General features: G+C 38.7%; 1 protein-coding gene across 3 annotated transcripts in view; it reads left to right on the forward strand.

Annotated features, from left to right (window-relative positions):
* EFHC1 (EF-hand domain containing 1) overlaps positions 1-22,314 on the forward strand; it is a 76,857-nt gene that overhangs the window by 21,714 nt on the left and 32,829 nt on the right. For 2 of the 3 annotated variants that reach the window (NM_018100.4, NM_001172420.2), the window contains 2 exons: positions 10,633-10,782; positions 12,040-12,232. In NM_018100.4, the coding sequence (NP_060570.2) occupies positions 10,633-10,782; positions 12,040-12,232 (343 nt within the window). Of the gene's footprint in view, positions 1-10,632; positions 12,233-22,314 lie in introns of all 3 variants that reach the window. The other variant, NR_033327.2, reaches the window with a different exon arrangement.

A 22,314-nucleotide genomic window follows, 5' to 3' on the forward strand; every position in this document is an offset into this window, starting at 1 on the left:
TTTGACTTTCTCTCTTCCTACTTGGATGTCCTTCATTTCTTTCTCTTGACTGATTGTTCTGGCCAAGACTTCCAATATTGTCTTGGATAGAAGTTGTGGAAGAGGGCATCCTTTTCTTGTGTCAGTTTTCAAGAGGAATGCTTCCAGCTTTTCCCTGTTCAATATAATGTTGGCTGTGGGTTTTTCATAGATGGCTCTGATTATTTTGAGGTGTGTTCCTTTAATACCTAGTTTATTTATTTATTTATTTTATTATTATACTTTAAGTTATGGGGTACATGCGCACAACGTGCAGGTTTGTTGCATATGTATACATGTGCCATGTTGGTGTGCTGTACCCATTAATTTGTCATTCAATTAGGTATATCTCCTAGTGGTATCCCTCCCCACACCCCCCACCCTATGACAGGCCCCAGTATGTGATGTTCCCCACCCTGTGTCCAAGTGTTCTCATTGTTCAATTCCCACCTATGAGTGAGAATATGCAGTGTTTGGTTTTCTGTCCTTGCGATAGTTTGCTCAGAATGATGGTTTCCAGCTTCATCCATGTCCCTACAAAGGACATGAGCTCATCATTTTTTATGGCTGCATAGTATTCCATGGTGTATATGTGCCACATTTTCTTAATCCAGTCTATCATTGTTGGACATTTGGGTTGGTTCCAAGTCTTTGCTATTGTGAATAGTGCCGCAATAAACATATGTGTGCATGTGACTTTATAGCAGCATGATTTATAATCCTTTGGGTATATGCCCAGTAATGGGATGGCTGGGTCATATGGTATTTCTTGTTCTGGATCCTTGAGGAATCACCACACTGTCTTCCACAATGGTTGAATTAGTTTACATTCCCACCAACAGTGTAAAAGCATTCCTATTTCTCCACATCCTCTCCAGCACCTGTTGTTTCCTGACTTTTTAATGATCTCCATGCTAACTGGCATGAGATGTGTGGTTTTGATTTGCATTTCTCTGATGGCCAGTGATGATGAGCATTTTTTCACGTATCTGTTGGCTGCATAAATGTCTTCTTTTGAGAAGTGTCTGTTCATATCCTTCGCCCACTTTTTGATGGGGTTGTTTTATTTTTTCTTGTAAATTTGTTTAAGTTCTTTGTAGATTCTGGATATTAGCCCTTTGTCAGATGGGTAGATTGTAAAAATTTTCTCCCATTCTGTAGGTTGCCTGTTCACTCAGATGGTAGTTTATTTTGCTGTGCAGAAGCTCTTTAGTTTAATTACATCCCATTGGTCAATTTTGGCTTTTGTTGCCATTGCTTTTGGTGTTTTAGTCATGAAGTCCTTGCCCATGCCTATGTCCTGAATGGTATTACCTAGGTTTTCTTCTAGGGTGTTTATGGTTTTAGGTCTAACATTTAAGTCTTTAATCCATCTTGAATTAATTTTTGTATAAGGTGTAAGGAAGGGATCCAGTTTCAGCTTTCTACATATGGCTAGCCAGTTTTCCCAGCACCATTTATTAAATAGGGAATCCTTTCCCCATTGCTTGTTTTTCTCAGGTTTGTCAAAGATCAGATGGTTGTAGATGTGTGGTATTATTTCCGAGGGCTCTGTTCTGTTCCATTGGTCTATATCTCTGTTTTGGTACCAGTACCATGTTGTTTTGGTTACTGTAGCCTTGTACTATAGTTTGAAGTCAGGTAGCGTGATGCCTCCAGCTTTGTTCTTTTGGCTTAGGATTGTCTTGGCAATGCAGACTCTTTTTTGGTTCCATATGAACTTTAAAGTAATTTTTTCCAATTCTGTGAAGAAAGTCATTGGTAGCTTGATGGGGATGGCATTGAGTCTATAAATTACCTTGTGCAGTATGGCCATTTTCACAATATTGATTCTTCCTACCCATGAGTATGGAATGTTCTTCCATTTGTTTGTGTCCTCTTTTATTTCATTGAGCAGTGGTTTGTAGTTCTCCTTGAAGAGGTCCTTCATGTCCCTTGTAAGTTGGATTCCTAGGCATTTTATTCTCTTTGAAGCAATTGTGAATGGGAGTTCACTCATGATTTGGCTCTCTGTTTGTCTGTTATTGGTGTATAAGAATGCTTGTGATTTTCGCACATTGATTTTGTATCCTGAGACTTTGCTGAAGTTGCTTATCAGCTTAAGGAGATTTTGGGCTGAGAGGATAGGGTTTTCTAAATATACAATCATGTCATCTGCAAACAGGAACAATTTGACTTCCTCTTTTCCTAATTGAATACCCTTTATTTCTTTCTCTTGCCTGATTGCCCTGGCCAGAACTTCCAACACTCTGTTGAATAGGAGTGGTGAGAGAGGGCATCCCTGTCTTGTGCCAGTTTTCAAAGGGAATGCTTCCAGTTTTTGCCCATTCAGTATGATATTGGCTGTGGGTTTGTCATAAATAGCTCTTATTATTTTGAGATATGTCCCATCAATACCTAGTTTATTGAGAGGTTTTAGCATGAAGGACTGTTGAATTTTGTCAAAGGCCTTTTCTGCATCTATTGAGATAATCACGTGGTTTTTGTCTTTGGTTCCGTTTATATGATGGATTCCATTTATTGATTCGTGTATGTTGAACCAGCCTTGCATCCAAGGGAGGAAGCCAACTTGATCGTGGTGGATAGGCTTTTTGATGTGCTGCTGGATTCGGTTTGCCAGTATTTTATGGAGGATTTTTGCATCGATGTTTATCAGGGATATTGGTCTAAAATTCTCTTTTTTTGTTGTGTCTCTGCCAGGTTTTGGTATCAGGATGATGTTGGCCTCATAAAATGAATTAGGGAGGATTCCCTCTTTTTCTATTGATTGGAATAGTTTCAGAAAGAATGGTACTAGCTCCTCTTTGTACCTCTGGTAGAATTCGGGTGTGAATCTGTCTGGTCCTGGACTGTTTTTGGTTGGTAGGCTATTAATTATTGCCTCAATTTCAGAACCTGTTATTGGTCTATTCAGGGATTCAACTTCTTCCCAGTTTAGTGTTGGGAGGGTGTGTGTGTCCAGGAATTTATCCATTTCCTCTAGATTTTCCAGTTTTTTTTTTTTTTGGTGTAGAGGTGTTTATAGTATTTTCTGATGGTAGGTTGTATTTCTGTGGGATCGATGGTGATATCCCCTTTATCATTTTTTATTGCATCTATTTGATTCTTCTCTCTTTTCTTCTTTATTAGTCTTGCTAGCGGTCTATCAGTTTTGTTGATCTTTTCAAAAAACCAGCTCCTGGATTCATTGATTTTTTTTTTTGGTTTTTTAATTAATTAATTTATTTATTTTTTTATTATTATACTTTAAGTTTTAGGGTACATGTGCACATTGTGCAGGTTAGTTACATACGTATACATGTGCCATGCTAGTGTGCTGCACCCACTAACTTGTCGTCTAGCATTAGGTATATCTCCCAATGCTGTCCCTCCCCCCTCCCCCTACCCCGCAGCAGTCCCCAGAGTGTGATGTTCCCCTTCCTGTGTCCATGTGATCTCATTGGGATTCATTGATTTTTTGAAGGGTTTTTTGTGTCTCTATCTCCTTCAGTTCTGCTCTGTTCTTAGTTATTTCTTGCCTTCTGCTAGCTTTTGAATGTGTTTGCTCTTGCTTCTCTGGTTCTTTTAATTGTGATGTTAGGGTGTCAATTTTAGATCTTACCTGCTTTCTCTTGTGGGCATTTAGTGCTATAAATTTCCTTCTACACACTGCTTTAAATGTGTCCCAGAGATTCTGGTATGTTGTGTCTTTGTTCTCATTGGTTTCAAAGAACATCTTTATTTCTGCCTTCATTTTGTCATGTACCCAGTAGTCATTCAGGAGCAGGTTGTTCAATTTCCATGTAGTTGAGTGGTTTTGAGTGAGTTTCTTAATCCTGAGTTCTAGTTTGATTGCACTGTGGTCTGAGAGACAGTTTTATATAATTTCTGTTCTTTTACATTTGCTGAGGAGTGCTTTACTTCCAACTATGTGGTCAATTTTGGAATAAGTGCGATGTGGTGCTGAGAAGAATGTATATTCTGTTGATTTGGGGTGGAGAGTTCTGTAGATGTCTATTAGGTCTGCTTGGGGCAGAGCTGAGTTAAATTCCTGGTTATCCTTATTAACTTTCTGTCTTGTTGATCTGTCTAATGTTGACAGTGGGGTGTTAAAGTCTCCCATTATTATTGTATGGGAGTCTAAGTCTCTTTGTATGTCACTAAGGACTTGCTTTATGAATCTGGGTGCTCCTGTATTGGGTGCATATATATTTAGGATAGTTAGTTCTTCTTGTTGAATTGATCCCTTTACCATTATGTAACGACATTCTTTGTCTCTTTTGATCTTTCTTGGTTTAAAGTCTGTTTTATCAGAGACTAGGATTGCAACCCCTGCTTTTTTTTGTTTTCCATTTGCTTGGTAGATCTTCTGCCATCCCTTTATTTTGAGCCTGTGTGTGTCTCTGCACGTCAGATGGGTCTCCTGAATACAGCACACTGATGGGTCTTGAGTCTTTATCCAATTTGCCAGTCTGTGTCTTTTAATTGGAGCATTTAGTTCATTTACATTTAAGGTTAATATTGTTAAGTGTGAATTTGATCCTGTCATTATGATGTTAGATGGTTATTTTGCTCATTAGTTGATGCAGTTTCTTCCTAGCATTGATGGTTTTTACAATTTGGCATGTTTTTGCAGTGGCTGGTACCGGTTGTTCCTTTCCATGTTTAGTGCTTCCTTCAGGAGTTCTTTTAGGGCAGGCCTGGTGGTGACAAAATCTGTCAGCATTTGTTTGTCTATAAAGGATTTTATTTCTCCTTCACTTATGAAGCTTAGTTTGGCTGGATATGAAATTCTGGATTGAAAATTCTTTTCTTTAAGAATGTTGATTATTGGCCCCCACTCTCTTCTGGCTTGTAGAGTTTCTGCCGAGAGATCCGCTGTTGGTCTGAATGGCTTCACTTTGTGGGTAACCCGAACTTTCTCTCTGGCTGCCCTTAACATTTTTTTCCTTCATTTCAACTTTGGTGAATCTGACAATTATGTGCCTTGGAGTTGCTCTTCTCAAGGAGTATCTTTGTGGCATTCTCTGTATTTCCTGAATTTGAATGTTAGCCTGCCTCACTAGTTTGGGGAAGTTCTCTTGGATAATATCCTGCAGAATGTTTTCCAACTTGGTTACATTCTCCCCATCACTTTCAGGTACACCAGTCAGACGTAGATTTGGTCTTTTCACATAGTTCCATATTTCTTGGAGGCTTTGTTCATTTCTTTTTACTCTTTTTTCTCTAAACTTCTCTTCTCACTTCATTTCATTCATTTGATCTTCAATCACTGATACCCTTTCTTCCACTTGATCTAATCGGCTACTGAAGCTTATGCATGCATCACATAGTTCTCATGCCATGGTTTTCAGCTCCATCAGGTCATGTAAGGACTTTTCTACACTGTTTATTCTAGTTAGCCATTCGTCTAATCTTTTTTTCAAGGTTTTTAGCTTCTTTGCGATGGGTTCGAACATCCTCCTTTAGCTCGGAGAAGTTTGTTATTACTGATTGTCTGAAGCCTTTTTCTCTCAATTCATCAAAGTCATTCTGCATCCAGCTTTGTTCCATTGCTGGCGAGGAGCTGCGTTCCTTTGGAGGAGAAGAGGCACTCTGATTTTTAGAATTTTTAGCTTTTCTGCTCTGGTTTCTCCCCATGTTTGTGGTTTTATCTACCTTTGGTCTTTGATGATGGTGACGTACAGATAGGTTTTTGGTGTGGATGTCCTTTCTGTTTGTTAGTTTTCCTTCTAACAGTCAGGACCCTCAGCTGCAGGTCTGTTGGAGTCTGCTGGAGGTCCACTTCAGACCCTGTTTGCCTGGGTATCACCAGTGGAGGCTGCAGAACAGTGAATATTGCTGAACAGCAGATGTTGCTGCCTGATCCTTCCTCTGGAAGCTTCGTCTCAGAGGGGCACCTGGCTGTATGAGGTGTCAGTTGGCCCCTACTGGGAGGTGTCTCCCAGTTAGGCTACTTGGGGGTCAGGGACCCACTTGAGGAGGCAGTCTGTCCGTTCTCAGATCTCAAACTTCGTGCTGGGAGAACCACTACTCTCTTCAAAGCTGTCAGACAGGGACGTTTAAGTCTGCAGAAGTTTCTGCTGCCTTTTGTTCAGCTATGCCCTGCCCTCAGAGGTGGAGTCTACAGAGGCAGGCAGGCCTCCTTGAGGTGCCATGGGCTCCACCCAGTTCGAGCTTCCCAGCTGCTTTGTTTAGCTGCTCAAGCCTCAGCAATGGCGGATGCCCCTCCACCAGCCTCGCTGCCGCCTTGCAGTTCAATCTCACGCTGCTGTGCTAGCAGTGAGAGAGGCTCTGTGGGTGTGGGACCCTCTGAGCCAGGTGCGGGATATAATCTCCTGGTGTGCCATTTGCTAAGGCCATTGGAAAAGTGCAGTATTAGGGTGGGAGTGTCCTGTTTTTCCAGATACTGTCTGTCACAGCTTCCCTTTGCTAGGAAAGGGAATTCCCCGACCCCTTGTGCTTCCCAGATGAGGCAATGCCCTGCCCTGCTCCGTGGGCTGCACCCACTGTCTGACAAACCCCAGTGAGATGAACCCAGTACCTCAGTTGGTAATGCAGAAATCACCCGTCTTCTGCGTTGCTCATGCTGGGAGCTTCAGACTGGAGCTGTTCCTGTTCGGCCATCCTGGAACCTCTCCTACCTAGTTTATTGAGAGTTTTTCTCATTAAGGGATATTGAATTTTACCCAAAGTCTTTTATATAGCTATTGAGATAATTATGTGGTTTCTGTCTCTAGTTTTGTTTATGTGATGAATCACATTTATTGATTTGTGTATGTTGAACCAACTTTGCATGCTGGAAATGAAGCCTACTTGATTGTGGTGGATTACCTTTTTGATGTGCTTCTGGATTCAGTTTGCAGATATTTTGTTGAGGATATTTGCATTGATGTTCATCAAATATATTGGCCTGAAGTTTTCTTTTTCTGTTGTGTCTCTGCCAGGTTTTGGTATCAGAATGATGCTGGCCTCATAGAATGAGTTAGGGAGGAATCCCTCCTCCTCAACTTTTTGGAATATTTTCTGTAGGAACAGTACCAGCTCTTGGCTGGGTGCGGTGGCTCACGCCTGTAATCCCAGCACTTTGGGAGGCTGAGGCGGGTGGATCATGAGGTCGGGAGATCGAGACCATCCTGGCTAACACAGTGAAACCCCATCTCTACTAAAAATACAAAAAATTAGCCAGGCGTGGTGGCAGGCGCCTGTAGTCCCAGCTACTCGGGGCTGAGGCAGGAGAATGGCGTGAACCCAGGAGACAGAGCTTGCAATGAGCCGAGATTGTGCCACTGCACTCCAGTCTGGGCGACAGAGCAAGACTCCATCTCAAAAAAAAAAAAAAAAATAGTACCAGCTCTTCTTTGTATATCTGATAGAATTCAGCTGTGAATCCCTCTGGCCCTGGGCCTTTTTTGGTTCATAGGCTATTGATTACTGATTCATTTTCAGAGCTTGTTATCAGTCTGTTCAGGGAATCAGTTTCTTCCTAGTTCAGTCTTGGGTGAGTGTATGTGTCCAGGAATTTATCCATCTCTTCTAGGTTTTCTAGTGTTGTGCATACAAGTGTTCATAATATTCTCTGATGGTTGCTTATAATTCTGTGGGGTCAGTGGTAACATCCCCTTTGTTGTTTCTAATTGTGTTTATTTAGATCTTCTCTCTTCTACATTAGTCTAGCTAGTGGCCTATCTTTTTAATAAAAACCAACTCCTGGATTCATTGATCTTTTGAATGGTTTTTTGTGTCTTGATTTCCTTCAGTTCAGCTCTGATTTTGGTTATTCCTTGTCTTCTGCTAGCTTTGAGGTTGATTTGCTCTTGCTTCTGTAGTTCTTTCAGTTGTGATATTAGGTTGTTAATTTGAGATGTAACTTTTTGACATCGGCATTTAGTGCTATAAATTTCCGTCTTAATACTGCCTTAGCTGTGTCCCAGAGATTCTGGTATGTCATATCTTTGTTCCATTACTTTCAAAGAAATTCTTGATTTCTGCCTTAATTTCATTATTTACCCAAAAGTCATTCAGGAGCAGGTTGTTTAATGTCCATGTAATTGCATGGTTTTGAGTGGTTTTTTTAGTTTTGACTTCTATTTTTATTATGCTGTCATCTGGGAGTGTGTTTGCTATGATTTTGGTTCTTTTGCATTTCCTGAGAATTGTTTTCTGTTTGATTATGTGGTCGATTTTAGAATATGTGCCATGTGGTGATGAGAATAACGTATACTCTGTTGTTTTTGGGTGGAAGGTTCTGTAGAGGTAGGTCACATCCATTTGGTCCAATGTTGAGTTAGGTCCTGAATATCTTTGTTAATTTTCTGCCTCAATGATCTGTTTAATACTGTCAGGGAAGTTTTAAAGTCTCCCACTGCTGTTGTATGGGAGTCCAAGTCTCATTGTAGATATCTAAGAACTTGCTTTATGAATCTGGGTGTTCCTGTATTGGGTGCATATGTATTTAGCATAGTTAGTTTTTTTTGTTGAGTTGGATCCTTTACCATTATACAGTGCCCTTCTTTGTCTTTTTTGATCTTTGGTGGTTTAAAGTCTGTTTTGTCTGAAATTAGGACTGCAACCCCTGCTTTTTTCTATTTTCCATCTGCTTGGTAGATTTTCTTCTATCCCTTTATTTTGAACCTTTGGGTGTCATTGCGTGTGAGATAGGTCTCTTGAAGACAGCATACCATTGGGTCTTCCTTTTTTATCTAGCTTGTTATTCTGCATTGTGGTTTTTTTGTTTGTTTGTTTGTTTTGTTTGTTTGTTTTTGAGACAGAATCTCACTTTGTCACCCAGGTTGGCGTGCAGTGGCGTGCTCTCAGCTCACTGCAAACTCTGCCTCCCAGGCTCAAGTGATTCTCCTGCCTCAGCCTCCCGAGTAGCTGGGATTACAGGTGTGTACCACCATGCCTGGCTAATTTTTGTATTTTTTAGCAGAGACTGGGTTTCACCATGTTGGCCAGGCTGGTCCTAAACTCCTGACCTCAAGTGATCCACCCACCTCTGCCTCCCAAAGTACTGGGATTACAGGCATGAGCCACCATGCCTGGCCTCTGTGCCTTTTAAATGGGGCCTTTAGCCCATTTATAATTAAGATTAGTGTTGATATGTGTAGATTTGATCCTGTCATTGTGTTGTTAGCTGGTTATTATGCTGGTTTGTTTGTGTGGTTGCTTTATAGTGTCACTGGTCTGTGTACTTGTGTGTTTTGTATTGGCTGGTAATGGCCTTTTCTTTCCATATTTAGTGCTCCTTTTAAGATCTCTTGTAAGGCAGGTCTGGTGGTAATGAACTCTGTCAGCATTTGCTTATCAGAAAAGGATCTTATTTCTCCTTTGCTAAGAAGCTTAGTTTGGCTAGATATGAAATTCTTGGTTGAAGATTTTTCTTCTTTAAGAATGTTGAATATAGGCCCCCAATCTCTTCTGGCTTATAGGGTTTCAGCTGAGAAGTCCAGTGTTAGCCTGATGGGGTTCCCTTTGTACGTGACCTGCCCTTTCTCTGTAGCTGCTTTTAACATTCTTTCTTTCATTTTGACCTTGGAAAATCTGATGATTATGTGGCTTGGGGATGATCTCCTTGCATAGAATCTTGCAGGGATTCTTTGTATTTCCTTAATTTGATTGTTGGCCTCTCTAGCGAGGTTGAGGAGGTTTTTGTGGACAATATCCTGAAATATGTTTTCCAAGTTGTTTGCTTTCTCACTGTCCCTTTCAGGAATGTCTGGTGAAATTTGAGCACTTGGTTTGTCTTTCCTATTTTGCTAACACGTTTTCTGGTCTAATATAACCAGTGGGTATGCTTTCTTTTTTTTCTTTTTTGGTGAGGGGAAGGGACTTAATCATATACAGTATTTGTTTTAAGTGAATTAGAAAATTGGGAATATGATTTCAGCCTAACTTGGCCATTGTGCATCTTGCCTCCAGACCTAATAGGAATTACATATTGTTTGAAACCATGGTTAGGTTCCAGATATATGAAAGTAAGCAATCCTAAGACTTACTCTGTTACAGGCACCTAACTAAATTTGATTGATTTAAATTATTTGAAAACAGTTATTTTGCCATTGTGCCTCCCAACTAGCTTAGCAAATACCTAGCAATATAACAATATAAAATACTTCAGGTAACTCTCAATTATTACCTGCATTATGGAGTTGGCTCAGTTGGAGACTTAATACAGCTTACATGCGCTCAAGCAGCAAACTAATGTTTAACTTAAGCAATGGCATAGAAATCATTATTACACTTTTTCTTTCTTTTTTTCTTTATTTGAGGCGGGGTCTTGCTGTGACGCAGGCTGGAGTGCAGTGTCATGATCATGGCTCACTGCAGCCTTGACCTCCTGAGCTCAAGCAGTCTACTCACTTCAGCCTCCTGAGTAGCCTGGACTGCAGGCAAATGCCATCAAACCAGTCTAACTTTTAAATGTTTTTGTAGAAACAGGGTCTCACTATGTTGCTCAGGCTGATTGTGAACTCCTGCGTTTCAGGAGTCCTCCTACCTCAGCCTCCCAAAGTGCTGAGATTGTAGGCCTGAGCCACAGTGCCTGGCCCATACACTTATTTTTATATAATCAGTTTATAACTTACTCTGAAAAGCTCCAAGAAAGATGATCATTGTTAACTTTCAATTATTTAGGTATTTTTAGAAAGCCAAGGAATTGAGTTAAATCCACCAGAGAAGATGGCTCTTGATCCTTACACTGAACTCCGAAAACAGCCTCTTCGTAAGTATGTCACCCCATCAGACTTTGATCAACTCAAGCAATTTCTCACCTTTGACAAACAGGTAAGTGACATAGGAACCACAATAGGCTTACTTATTTCCAAATGTGACCTACATTTATTGGCAAAAGGTTTGGGTAGCTGTATTGGTAACTATTTTGAAACATTACAGCTATAATTGAACTGTTTGGACACAGTACTGTCTTTCTGCTTTCATCAAGGGTTACAGGTACAGGAATGCCTACATTTCATATGGAGATCCAAAGAAGATCGTGGAGTTGCGGAGTTGTTTTGTGAACCTCACCAAACATTTAAATCTCAAAGCAATTCCTGAGCTACATCTGCTTCCCACCTTACGTTTCCAATTGACAATTTCTTTCCCTTAAAATGAGCTAATTTCATAGACTCCTTTGTGAAACCATAAATCGATTATTAGGAAATTTCACAAATATGCATACATGTAGGTTGTAATGTTAAAATGTTTAATTTCACAGAAGCCCCACTACAGATGCTTCCTTGTTAAATGTTATATTAATATTGGAGTCCAGAATGTTCTGAGCATTTTCCAACTCTGTTCCAACCTTCCTAATCCTCTCCCTTGTGAGCTGATGTGTATAAGCAGATTTAAATCCTTCCCTTTCTGTACTAAAGGGAGAAAGAAAAGGAAGAGATCACCCTCAGTGCTTCTTTGCTGCTCCTTTTCTTTAGACATTTAACCCCTTTTAGTTCAGAAAATGTAAACTAGCACTAGCATGGTCTTTTAAGGATTTTGTTCATATCAGTCATATATCTGTTATTATTTTGTATTTAAAGATTGTGTTTATTCCCACGATTTGAAGAAGCCTAGCCAAAAAAAAAAAAAAAAAGATTGTGTTTATATTATTGCTAGAAGATATGTGTTGATGGGACCAAAAAAAGACTGGTTAATAAATAAAAATTTTTTCTACACTAATTATATATAAACCATATTCACATGTACCTTTATTAATATATATATACCACTATGTAAAGAACTTCATTGCTCTTTTAATTTAGCTTCTCTTTCACTGACTAATATTTTGGATCAAAGTGAGCTCTTCTTTTTTGGCACAAACTTATAATCCTATTATTTAATTCTTTCCAGCTGCTGACATATAGTACATAATTTCAGATGTTTTAGTATGTTTGATGAATATTTCTTTTTTTTTCAATTTACCCCATCTGAAATTACTTCATAGTCTTTCCAGCTAGTCTTTCCATCGTTGATACATAATTGCCAAAGTAGCCAAGTTGAACTCCCTACTTTTAGGATTCTTGAGTCACTACTTTGGATTCTTCAAAGGTCCTTCGATTCTATGCAATCTGGGATGATACAGACAGCATGTATGGTGAATGTCGGACCTACATCATTCATTACTATCTTATGGATGATACGGTGGAAATTCGAGAGGTCCACGAACGGAATGATGGGAGAGATCCTTTCCCACTCCTAATGAACCGCCAGCGTGTGCCCAAAGTTTTGGTGGAAAATGCAAGTATGTTTGATTCAGTTTATTCTCTGTTACTTGGGATGTTTTTAGGTTCTTAAAGGAGTTACTTAATCAGTATGCAAAATTCGTTTATACTTGGAAGCCTCTAGCTATTTTTGCTTAGATGCTCAGAAAATGGCTTCCCACAGCTTTCCTCCTTTACTTGCCCCTCGGTCCAGGCGTGCCCCCAAGACAGTCTGGTACCCAGGTCAAGGAAACAAAACCAAAACAACAGTGGGAGATTTATTTAAAGTGCAGCAGAGCAAGGTTTCTGAACTGAAACAATTTAATATTAGATTTTTAATGCATTTTTCAAACAGGCTTGTTTTCATTCAAGGATATGAATGAAAGCTTAGCTTTTCTTTATATGCTTTCCTGACTTTGCTTCTCACTTCAACTACTTCCTAAACAGGAAGTTTCTATGTGGTTTAACTTGAGATTGGAAAAGGCATGTCTGTGACTCATAGAGGTGAGGTCCATTGTGTCAAACCCAGCTCATTCTTTACTGGTTTAAAATTACCTAGCATGGGCTGGGCATGATGGCTCACTCCTGTAATCCCAGCACTTTGGGAGACTGAGGCGGGTGGATTGCTTGAGCCCAAGAGTTTGAGACCAGCCTGGGCAACGTGATGAAACCTCCTCTCTACAAAAAATACAAAAATTAGCCATGCTTGGTGCCGCACACCTGTATTCCCAGCTACTTGGGAGGCTGAGGTGGGAGGATCATCTGAGCCTGGGAGGTCGAGGCTGCGGTGAGCTGTGATTGTGGTGCTGCACTCCAGCCTGGGCAACAGTGAGATCCTATCTCCAGAAAAAGAAAAAAAGTTACCTACCATATTTGAGAGTGGCAGTGCAACAAAATGGCAGCAAATACCTGCTGTTCACTGTTTCCTGGGATGAGTAGGCTTGCTTTAGTTATTGTCTTAGTAGTTTTTACATTTCTCTTAGAATAATGTCATCTTGGTCACATGTAATGACTGATAGCTCTTATGTTTGGGTGGCTGACAGGATTCTGTAAATGTGTTCACTGATTTTTTTTTCTTTTTACTATATTTTTTGGGAATTAGGATATAAGAAATTTCAGGTATTGGGGCTGGGCACGGTGGCTCACACCTGTAATCCCAGCACTTTGGGAGGCCAAGGCAGGTGGATCATGAAGTCAGGAGATCGAGACCATTCTAGCTAACATGGTGAAACCCCATCTCTACTAAAAATACAAAAAATTAGCTGGGCGTGGTGGCGTGCACCTGTAGTCCCAGCTACTCAGGAGGCTGAGGCAGGAGAATTGTTTGAACCCGGGAGGTGGAGGTTGTGGCGAGCCAAGATCGTGCCACTGCACTCCAGCCTGGGTGACAGAGTGAGACTCCATCTCAAAAAAAAAAAGAAAAAGAAATTTCAGGTATTGAGCAAGAAGTTTGTCTACATTAGAGGTTATAAATAAATGTGTAGTCTGAGGCTAAATTCAACGTGTCTGTACATATTGCTTCACTTGCACAGTGCTTTTTTATGAAAAATGCAGTATTATTTGTGGGCAAGGAGTTGGAGGTTTCCATCATTGAGAGAATGGATAAGCAAAAATGTAGTGAAGGTACATTTTGATTAATATACAGTAGTTAGAAGCAGTAAACAAGATGTACACAGAAAGCAAGTGGATGGATCTTAAAAACATAGTGCTGTGTAGGAAAAAATACATGAAATTAGATATATAATGCTATAACACATGCAAAACATAGTACACGTAGGACACATTCAGTCACATAGCTGCATTAGAATGATTGCATGTGAGGAGAGGAGAATGAGATTGGGGAAAAGGATAAAAGGGAGTGAAAATTGTCATCATTTTAGAATTAGGAAAGTTTATGTTATATATTTTTTTAAAAAAATGAAAATACTGCTAATTCAGCTTGTATTCTCAAATAGAAACAACTGGATCTGTGCCCTAGTTCAACATAGTTTGGCTTCTACCTACTATACATATTCTTATAATCAGTTCTCTACAGAACCGTCTTAGAGTTCAATGACAATGGGACTAATATAGTAATTTTGGCCTTTCAGAATGCTTAAACAAGCCTGAAATCCATGCAGTTCGGAGCTAACAAACATTAGATTTACAATAGATAAAGAAAATGGATAGGAATATATTCAGGGTGGCATGAAAAGTCTCACTGAAACTAAATCCCTTTAAATGACAGATTCCAGGTTTGTCTCTGCTTTATCAATGTGACCTATATTGAAAACTTAATATATAATTATCCTCTTCTATAATTTCCCAATTAAAAATTTTTTATCAAAGTTGCATGGAGAGGCAGCCTGGTGGCATATATAGGGTTCTTTTAAAAAGTAGGAAACAGGCTGGTCGCTGTGGCCGAAGCCTATAATCCCGTCACTTTGGGAGGCCAAGGTGGGAGGATCACCTGAAGTCAGGAGTTCGAGACCAGTCTGGCCAACATGGTGAAACCCCCTCTCTACTAAAAAATACAAAAATTACCTGGGCATGGTGGCAGGTGCCTGTAGTCCCAGCTACTTAGGAGGCTGAGGCAGGAGAATTGCTTGAAGCCAGGAGACAGAGGCTGCAGTGAGCGGAGATTGCGCCACTTCACTCCAGCCTGGGCAACAGAGCAAGACTCCATCTCAAAAAAAGAAAAAAGGTATCAGTCATGAGGTACAGAAAAGGCTATGTTCCCATCAGCTACATAATTCCTTTAACTAGAAGGGTAGTGTTAAAAGAATGATGTCTAATTGACTCTCAAAGGCATTTATCCAATGGGTGATTTTTATTAAATTCAATTAAACAAGAGGTAAATAATCTGCTATGGGAACCATTTCACATGCTAAATGCTATGGAGGACAAAATGTAACTCCCATTCCTAGAATCCTATCTTTCAGTCATTTCTAGTGTCATTAAGAAGACAAGGCATATAAAATACACAAAGCTGTTAAGTAATAACATGAGTATACCAGATTATCTGATTATGTAATTAGTTAAGTCATGCAGACCGAGGTCAGAAGGACAAAGGTGTGGGCCTGAAAAACTAAAGAAGTCTTTGTGGAAGAGCTGGGATTAGACTCAGATTTAGAATGGCAGAGAACAAAGAGCTCACTAGAAAGAAGAACAAGAGCAAAAGTTGGGAATTAGGAACAAGTATGGCATGTTTGGGGGCGCCCAAGAGATGGTGGCTAGGCAGAGAGTTTGTATTAGACAGTAATAGGAAATTATGGGAGTAACTTTCAGAAGTCCTCTCAACCAGGGCCTCCTTTTAAGTAGCTAAGATAAATCAAAATTATATATTTATAATGGATGGAGTTAAAATATCAGAAATTCAGAAAGTTATTTCTTCGTCAAGGGCAATTGCATATTACCAATAGGTGGCAGGTAATATCAAAACAGGACATCTTTTGACTTAACAAAAGCTTTCTACTCAGCTCTTGAACCCAAGGAACCAGGTTCTGAAAGTCTAAATATGTTAGTTATCCTTCAGACTGGCTTTCATAGTTTGATCTTGCCCTTGCCTGTTAGATGAATCTTGAACACCCCTTAGACCTTTAGTGTTCCAGAAAGTTGAATGTATTTCCTCACTTTCTGTGCATCTTTGTTGGCTCACTCAGTCATTCGAATAATATTAATCGAACATCCATATAGATGAAGGAAACACCATGCTAGGCAATGGAGATCTGAAACTACTATAAGCCCCATATCTCAAAGACTTTACAATCTGATGAGATCAACATACAGATCAATGAAATAGAACAAATTGTCCAGAAATAGATGCACACATATGAGGTCATTTGATTTTTGACAAAGGTAAAAAAGCAATTTGGTGGAGAAATGATTGTCTTTTTAACAAAAGGTGCTGGAACAATTCAATAGCCTATGCAAAAGTAAATAAATAAATAAACTTCAACCCTTACCTCACCATACATAAAAGTTAACCCCAAATGGATCATAGACCTGGGCGACAGAGTGAGACCCTGTCTCAGAGCAGGGGGAAAAAAAAAGCAAATGTAATGAAAACAAAAATTGACAATTGGGACCTAATTAAACTAAAGAGCTTGTGCATTGCAAAAGAAGCTATCAACAGAGGAAACAGCCTACAGAATGGGAGAAAATATTTGAAACAATGCATTTGACAAATGTCTAATATCCAGAATCTATAAGGAACTTAAATCAACAAGAAAAATAACAAATAACCCCATTGAAAAGTAGGCAAAGGACATGAACAGACACTTCTCAAAAGAAAACATACAAATGGACAACAAACATTTTAAAAATGCCCAACATCACTAATCATCAGAGGGATGCAATCATACCAGTCAGAATGGCTATTATTAAGTCAAAAAATAACAGATGTTGGCAAGCTTGCAGAGAAAAGGGAATGCTTATCACTGTTGGTGGGAATGTGAACTAGTTCAGCCCCTGAGGAAAACAGTTTGGAGATTTCTCCAAAAGTAGAACTACACCAATCCCATTATTGGGTATATACCCAAAAGAAAATAAATTGTTGTATCCAAAAGATACTTGTATTCATGTTTATTGCAGCACTGTTCACAATAGCAAAGACATGGAATCAACCCAGGTGCCCATCACTGGTGGATTGGATAAAGAAAATGTGTTAATGGTACATATACACCATGGAATACTATATGGCCATAAAAAATAAAATCATATTCTTTGCAGCAACGTGGATGCAGGTAGAGGCCATTATACTAAGTGAATTAACACAGAAACAGAGCATTGGGTATACACATGGACACAAAGACAGGAACAATAGACACTGGGGACTCCAAAAGGAAGAAGTAAGGGAGAGGGACAAGGGTTGAAGAACTACCTATCAGGTACTGTGTTCACTATTTGGGTGACAGGATCAATAGCTCAAACTTCAGCATCATGCAATATACCTGTGCAACCAACCTGTACATGTACCCTGAGTCTAAAATTTAAAAATAAATACATAAATAATAAAAGTTTTGCTTTTCAAAAGACACTGTTAGGAAAGTGAAAGGAAAAGCTAAAGATTGGGAAAAATATTTGTAAAACATATTTGAGAAGGTACTTGTCATAGGATATATAAAGTGGCTCTTAAAACTTAGGAAAACAACCCAAATAAAAAATAGGTAAAGGATTAGAATAGATACCTCACCAAAAGCATGCATGTATGACAAGTTAGCACACAAAAATATATTTGCCATAGTTACTTATTAGAGAAATGCAAATTAAAACCATGTAAGATACTACTGTATACCCACTAGAATGTCCAAAATTAAAAAGACTGACCATACCAAGTGTTGACAAGGATGTGAAGCAGCTGAAAATTTCACACACTGCTAGTGGAAGGTCAGCTGAAACAACCACGTTGAAAAATAGCGTGACAGGTTTTTTTGTTTTGTTTGTTTGTTTGTTTGTTTGTTTTTTTGAGACGGAGTCTCGCTTTGTCGCCCAGGCTGGAGTGCAGTGGCATGGTCTTGGCTCACTGCAAGCTCCGCCTCCCAGGTTCACACCATTCTCCTGCCTCAGCCTCCCGAGTAGCTGGGACTACAGGCGCCTGCCACTACGCCCGGCTAATTTTTTGTATTTTTAGTAGAGATGGGGTTTCACCATGTTAGCCAGGATGGTCTCGATCTCCTGACCTCGTGATCCACCCGCCTCGGCCTCCCAAAGTAATCTGAGATTACAGGCATGAGCCACCGTACCCGGCTGACAGTTTGTTTTTTAAAATTGCACATATATCTACCATACAAACCAGCCATTCTTTTCTTGGGTATTTGCCAAGAGAAAGGAAAACATATGTCCACACAGAAACTTATGTGAATGTTTATGGCAGCTTTTTTTATAATAGCCAAAAGTTGGAAAGAATGCAAATGTCTATTAACAGTTAGTGAGTAAACAATTATTGTATATCAGTACTTTGGAATACTACTAAAAAACAAAACAATTATTGATGTATGAAACAACATGAATGAATCTCAAAGTAACTATGCTAAGAGAATGAATTCAGACAAAAATACATGCCATATAATTCCATTGGTGTAAAATTAATATAAATACAATATAAATAAGCAAAATAGATCAGTGATTGCGTGAGGATGGTGAGAAGGAGAGTTAGATTATAAAAGGTCATGAGGAGACTTTTGGATGTGATTGGATGTTTATTATTTTGATTGTAATGATGGTTTCATGGGTAAATACATATGTCAAGCAACATCAAAATTGTATACTCCAAAAATGTGCAGCTTATTGTAGTCAATTACACCTCAGTAAAGTTGTAAAAATATAAATTCCTATCTAGATATGTCATAGTCAAATGTAAGAACACTAGATTCGAAAAGATCATGAAAGCAGCTCCAAAGAAAAAGGTAACCCATACCAGATGGAAGTTAGAATGACAGCTGACTTCTGTAGCAACAGTGATTACCAGAAGACAGTAAAATAATATCTTCAGAGTGCTGAGAAAAAAATAAGAGTTTAATGCCTAGAGAAACTGTCTTTCAGGAAGACAGTGAAATACATTTCCAGGCAAACAAAACAGATTTTACTAACAGCAGACCTTTACTGGGAAACTTCTAGAGTATACTTCAAGTGGAAAGAAAATGAATGCAGAAGTAAAGTCTAAGATACAAAAAGTCGTGAATAAAGAAAATAGCAAAGTAGGATAAATCTAAATAATCATTAACTATACAAATTAAAAGAACAATATTGAATTTGTGAGAGTTAAAAATATCAAAGTAGAACTGACATGTATTACAGTAATAGCATAAGAAAGGGTGATAGGATTAAATATATAACAAGTTTTGAAAATTTTTTTTTAACTTTTAAGTTCAGGGGTACATGTGCAGGTTTGTTTTATGAGTGAGCTTGTGTCATGCAGGTTTGTTGTACATTTTGTCTCCCAGGTATTAAGCCTAACACCCATCAGTTATTTTTCCTGATCTTCTCCCTCCTCCCACCCTTCACCCTCCAATAGACCCCAGTGTGTATTGTTCCCTCCTATGTGTCCATGTGCTCTCATCATTTAGCTTCCACTTATAATTGAGAAACGTGGTACTTGATTTTCTGTTCCTGCATTAGTTTGCTAAAGATAATGGCCTTCAGCTGCATCCATGTTCCTGCACAGGATATGATCTCATTCTTTTTTATGGCTGCATAGTATTCCATGGTGTATATATACCACATTTTCTTTATTCAATCTGTCATTGATGGGCATTTAGGTTGATTCTATGTCTTTGCTATTATGAATAGTGCTGCAGTGATCATACACTTGCGTTTCTTTATGATAGGATGATTTATATTCCTTTGGAGATATACCCAGTAATGTGATTGCTGGGTCGAATGGGTAGTTCTGTTTTTAGGTCTTTGAGGAATCACCACACTGCTTTCCACGGTGTTTGAACTCATTTACCCTCCCATGAACAATATATAAAAGTGTTTTTAAAAACATACTTAAGATATAGGCAAATATCTTTAAAAAGAAAAATAAATAGCAAAAGAAACTGATGAGGTATAAAACAACTGATGAAGCTATATTAGTATAATACAAAAAGACATTTGGGCAAAAAGCTTTGATTGAGATGAAGAGGATCATTACCTATTGCAAGAATATTTTATTTACTAGGAAAATATAATAATTCTAAACTTGAATGCAGTAATAACATGGATTCAAAATATAAGAAAAATCTGTAGCACCATTATTCAGTGAGACTGGAAAAATATAGCATAATAGTGGGAGCCATTAAAACATTTCTTTCAATAGTTGTTAGATCAAAAAGACAAATCAATAAACAGGTATAAGACTTGAATAATATTATTATTCATTTAATATATATATGCTTACCCAACACCCAATTTTCAACAAAATTAAGTTAGAAGTCAATTTTGGAAATATAACATGAAAAAAACCGTGTATTTGGAAATTGAAAAACATATTTTCAGATAACCCATGAGTTAAAAAAAAATATTGTCAGAAAATACCTAGAACTGAATGGTAGCAAAAACTCTTAAAACTCTAAAAAAAAGAGGTACTTGGAGGAAAATATATAGCTTTAAATGCTTACTTAAGAAAGAAGAAAGATGACAATAAGTTAGGCATATTTCTTAAAAAGTTAGAAATCTAAAGAATTTAAAAATTAAAATATTAAGAAATTAAAAGAAGGAAATCATAAAATAAGAGGCTGAAAATAAAGAAATTGAAAACAAAGGTAACAGAGAAGATTTGTCAAGTCAAAAGTCATCTCCTTGAAAGGACTAATAAAGTGACAAACTATAGACAAGATTTATGAAGGGATAAACAAAAGAAGGCACATATACACCATATTAAAAATGAAAGAAGTGGCTGGGCATGGTGGCTCACACCTGTAATCCCAGCACTTTGGGAGGCCAAGGCAGGCGGATCACTTGAGGTCAGGAGTTCGAGACCAGCCTGGCTAATGTGGTGTGAAACTCCATTTCTACTAAAAATGCAAAAATTAGCCCAGCATGGTGGCACGCACCTGTAGTCCTAGCTACTTAGGAGGCTGAGGCAGGAGAATTGCTTGAACCTGGAAGGCAGAGGTTGCAGTGAGCCGAGATTGTGCCAGTGCACTCCAGGCTGGGCAACAGGGCAAGACTGTCTCAAAAAAAAAAAAAAAAGCATTCTTTAAAGTGCCATAGCCATTAAACATAAAATAAAATAATAATACAACTTTATGCCAATAAATTTAAAAACTTAGGTAAAATGAGTAAAGTTTTTTTTGTTTTGTTTTTGTTTGTTTTGTTTTGTTTGTTTTTGTCTTTGAGACGGAGTCTCTCTCTGTCGCCCAGGCTGGAGTGCAGTGGCCTGATCTCGGCTCACTGCAAGCTCCGCCTCCCGGGTTCACACCATTCTCCCGCCTCAGCCTCCCGAGTAGCTGGGACTACAGGTGCCCGCCACCACACCCAGCTAATTTTTTTTTTTTTTTTTGTATTTTTAGTAGAGACAGAGTTTCACCGTGTTAGCCAGCGTGGTTTTGATCCGCCCACCTCGGCCTCCCAAAGTGCTGAGATTATAGGCATGAGCCACTGTGCCCGGCCAAAACGAGCAAAGTTTTAAAAAAGTATAACTTGTTTATGAAGAAATAGAAAACCAAATATCTTCAGCCATTAAAGAAATAGATTTAGTTTAAACATTTCCCACAAAAAATCCAGCAGATCCAGATAATCTTACAGATGATTTTTGACAAACATTTAAAGAACAGGTAATTCTAAGCTTAACACAAACCCTTTTAGAGAGAAGAACTTCTTAATTCTTTCATTTAAAAAGGCCAGTGAAACCAAAGTCACCATGAGAAAGAAAAACTACAGTCATTCTCACTTAAGAAGATATGTGCAAAAATCCTAAACAAGATATCAGTAAACCTGATCCAGCATTATATGAAAAAATAATTTGTTGAGCAAACAAAGGCAGATGGCTGGACAGCACACACACATATACCAGATCTCCTGGAATATTGTATACTAAAGGAAGTTAATATAATCACAAGCTATGTCCCTCATTGCCCATCACTTCCTGGGGAAGCTCAAAGGGAGGTAGTAGGGTTGAGAATAGACATAGGGAGACAGATCCCTTGGACTATAGAGCTGTTATTAATAAGATGCATTATTAGGGAAATACCAGGCCCTCCTTTGCTATGATCAAGGGCTGGAGTTCAAACTTTTATGCCTGTTATAGCAGAAACTTAGCCTTATTCCAGTTTTTCAATCTCAGTAATTACTAGTTAGGAGAACATCAGCCTACTTTTCATCCCCCTTGTGATCAGGGTTCTGTGCCAAAGCTTTGTGGTTACAACTATAAGATGTGGCACTCTACTAGAACTGATTGACTCTTAAGATTTCCTTGGATGCCAGGCTGCAGGTAATCAATCTTAAACAAGTTAATCCTTAGTTCTCATGAAACAGTAAGACAAGAATGGAATTATTCCACAAATGCAAGATTGATTCTACATTTGGAAATTATTTATTCCCACATGAATGGATTATTGTCATCATCTCATTGACTGTCCCTGCCCCCTGTCTCCAGGACTAGCTTACACTGTCCTCATAGCAGTGATTACAACCTGAAATGAAACCATCATTTATATAA

Source organism: Homo sapiens, chromosome 6 (genome assembly GCF_000001405.40).
Source record: "Homo sapiens chromosome 6, GRCh38.p14 Primary Assembly".
Taxonomy (NCBI): domain Eukaryota; kingdom Metazoa; phylum Chordata; class Mammalia; order Primates; family Hominidae; genus Homo; species Homo sapiens.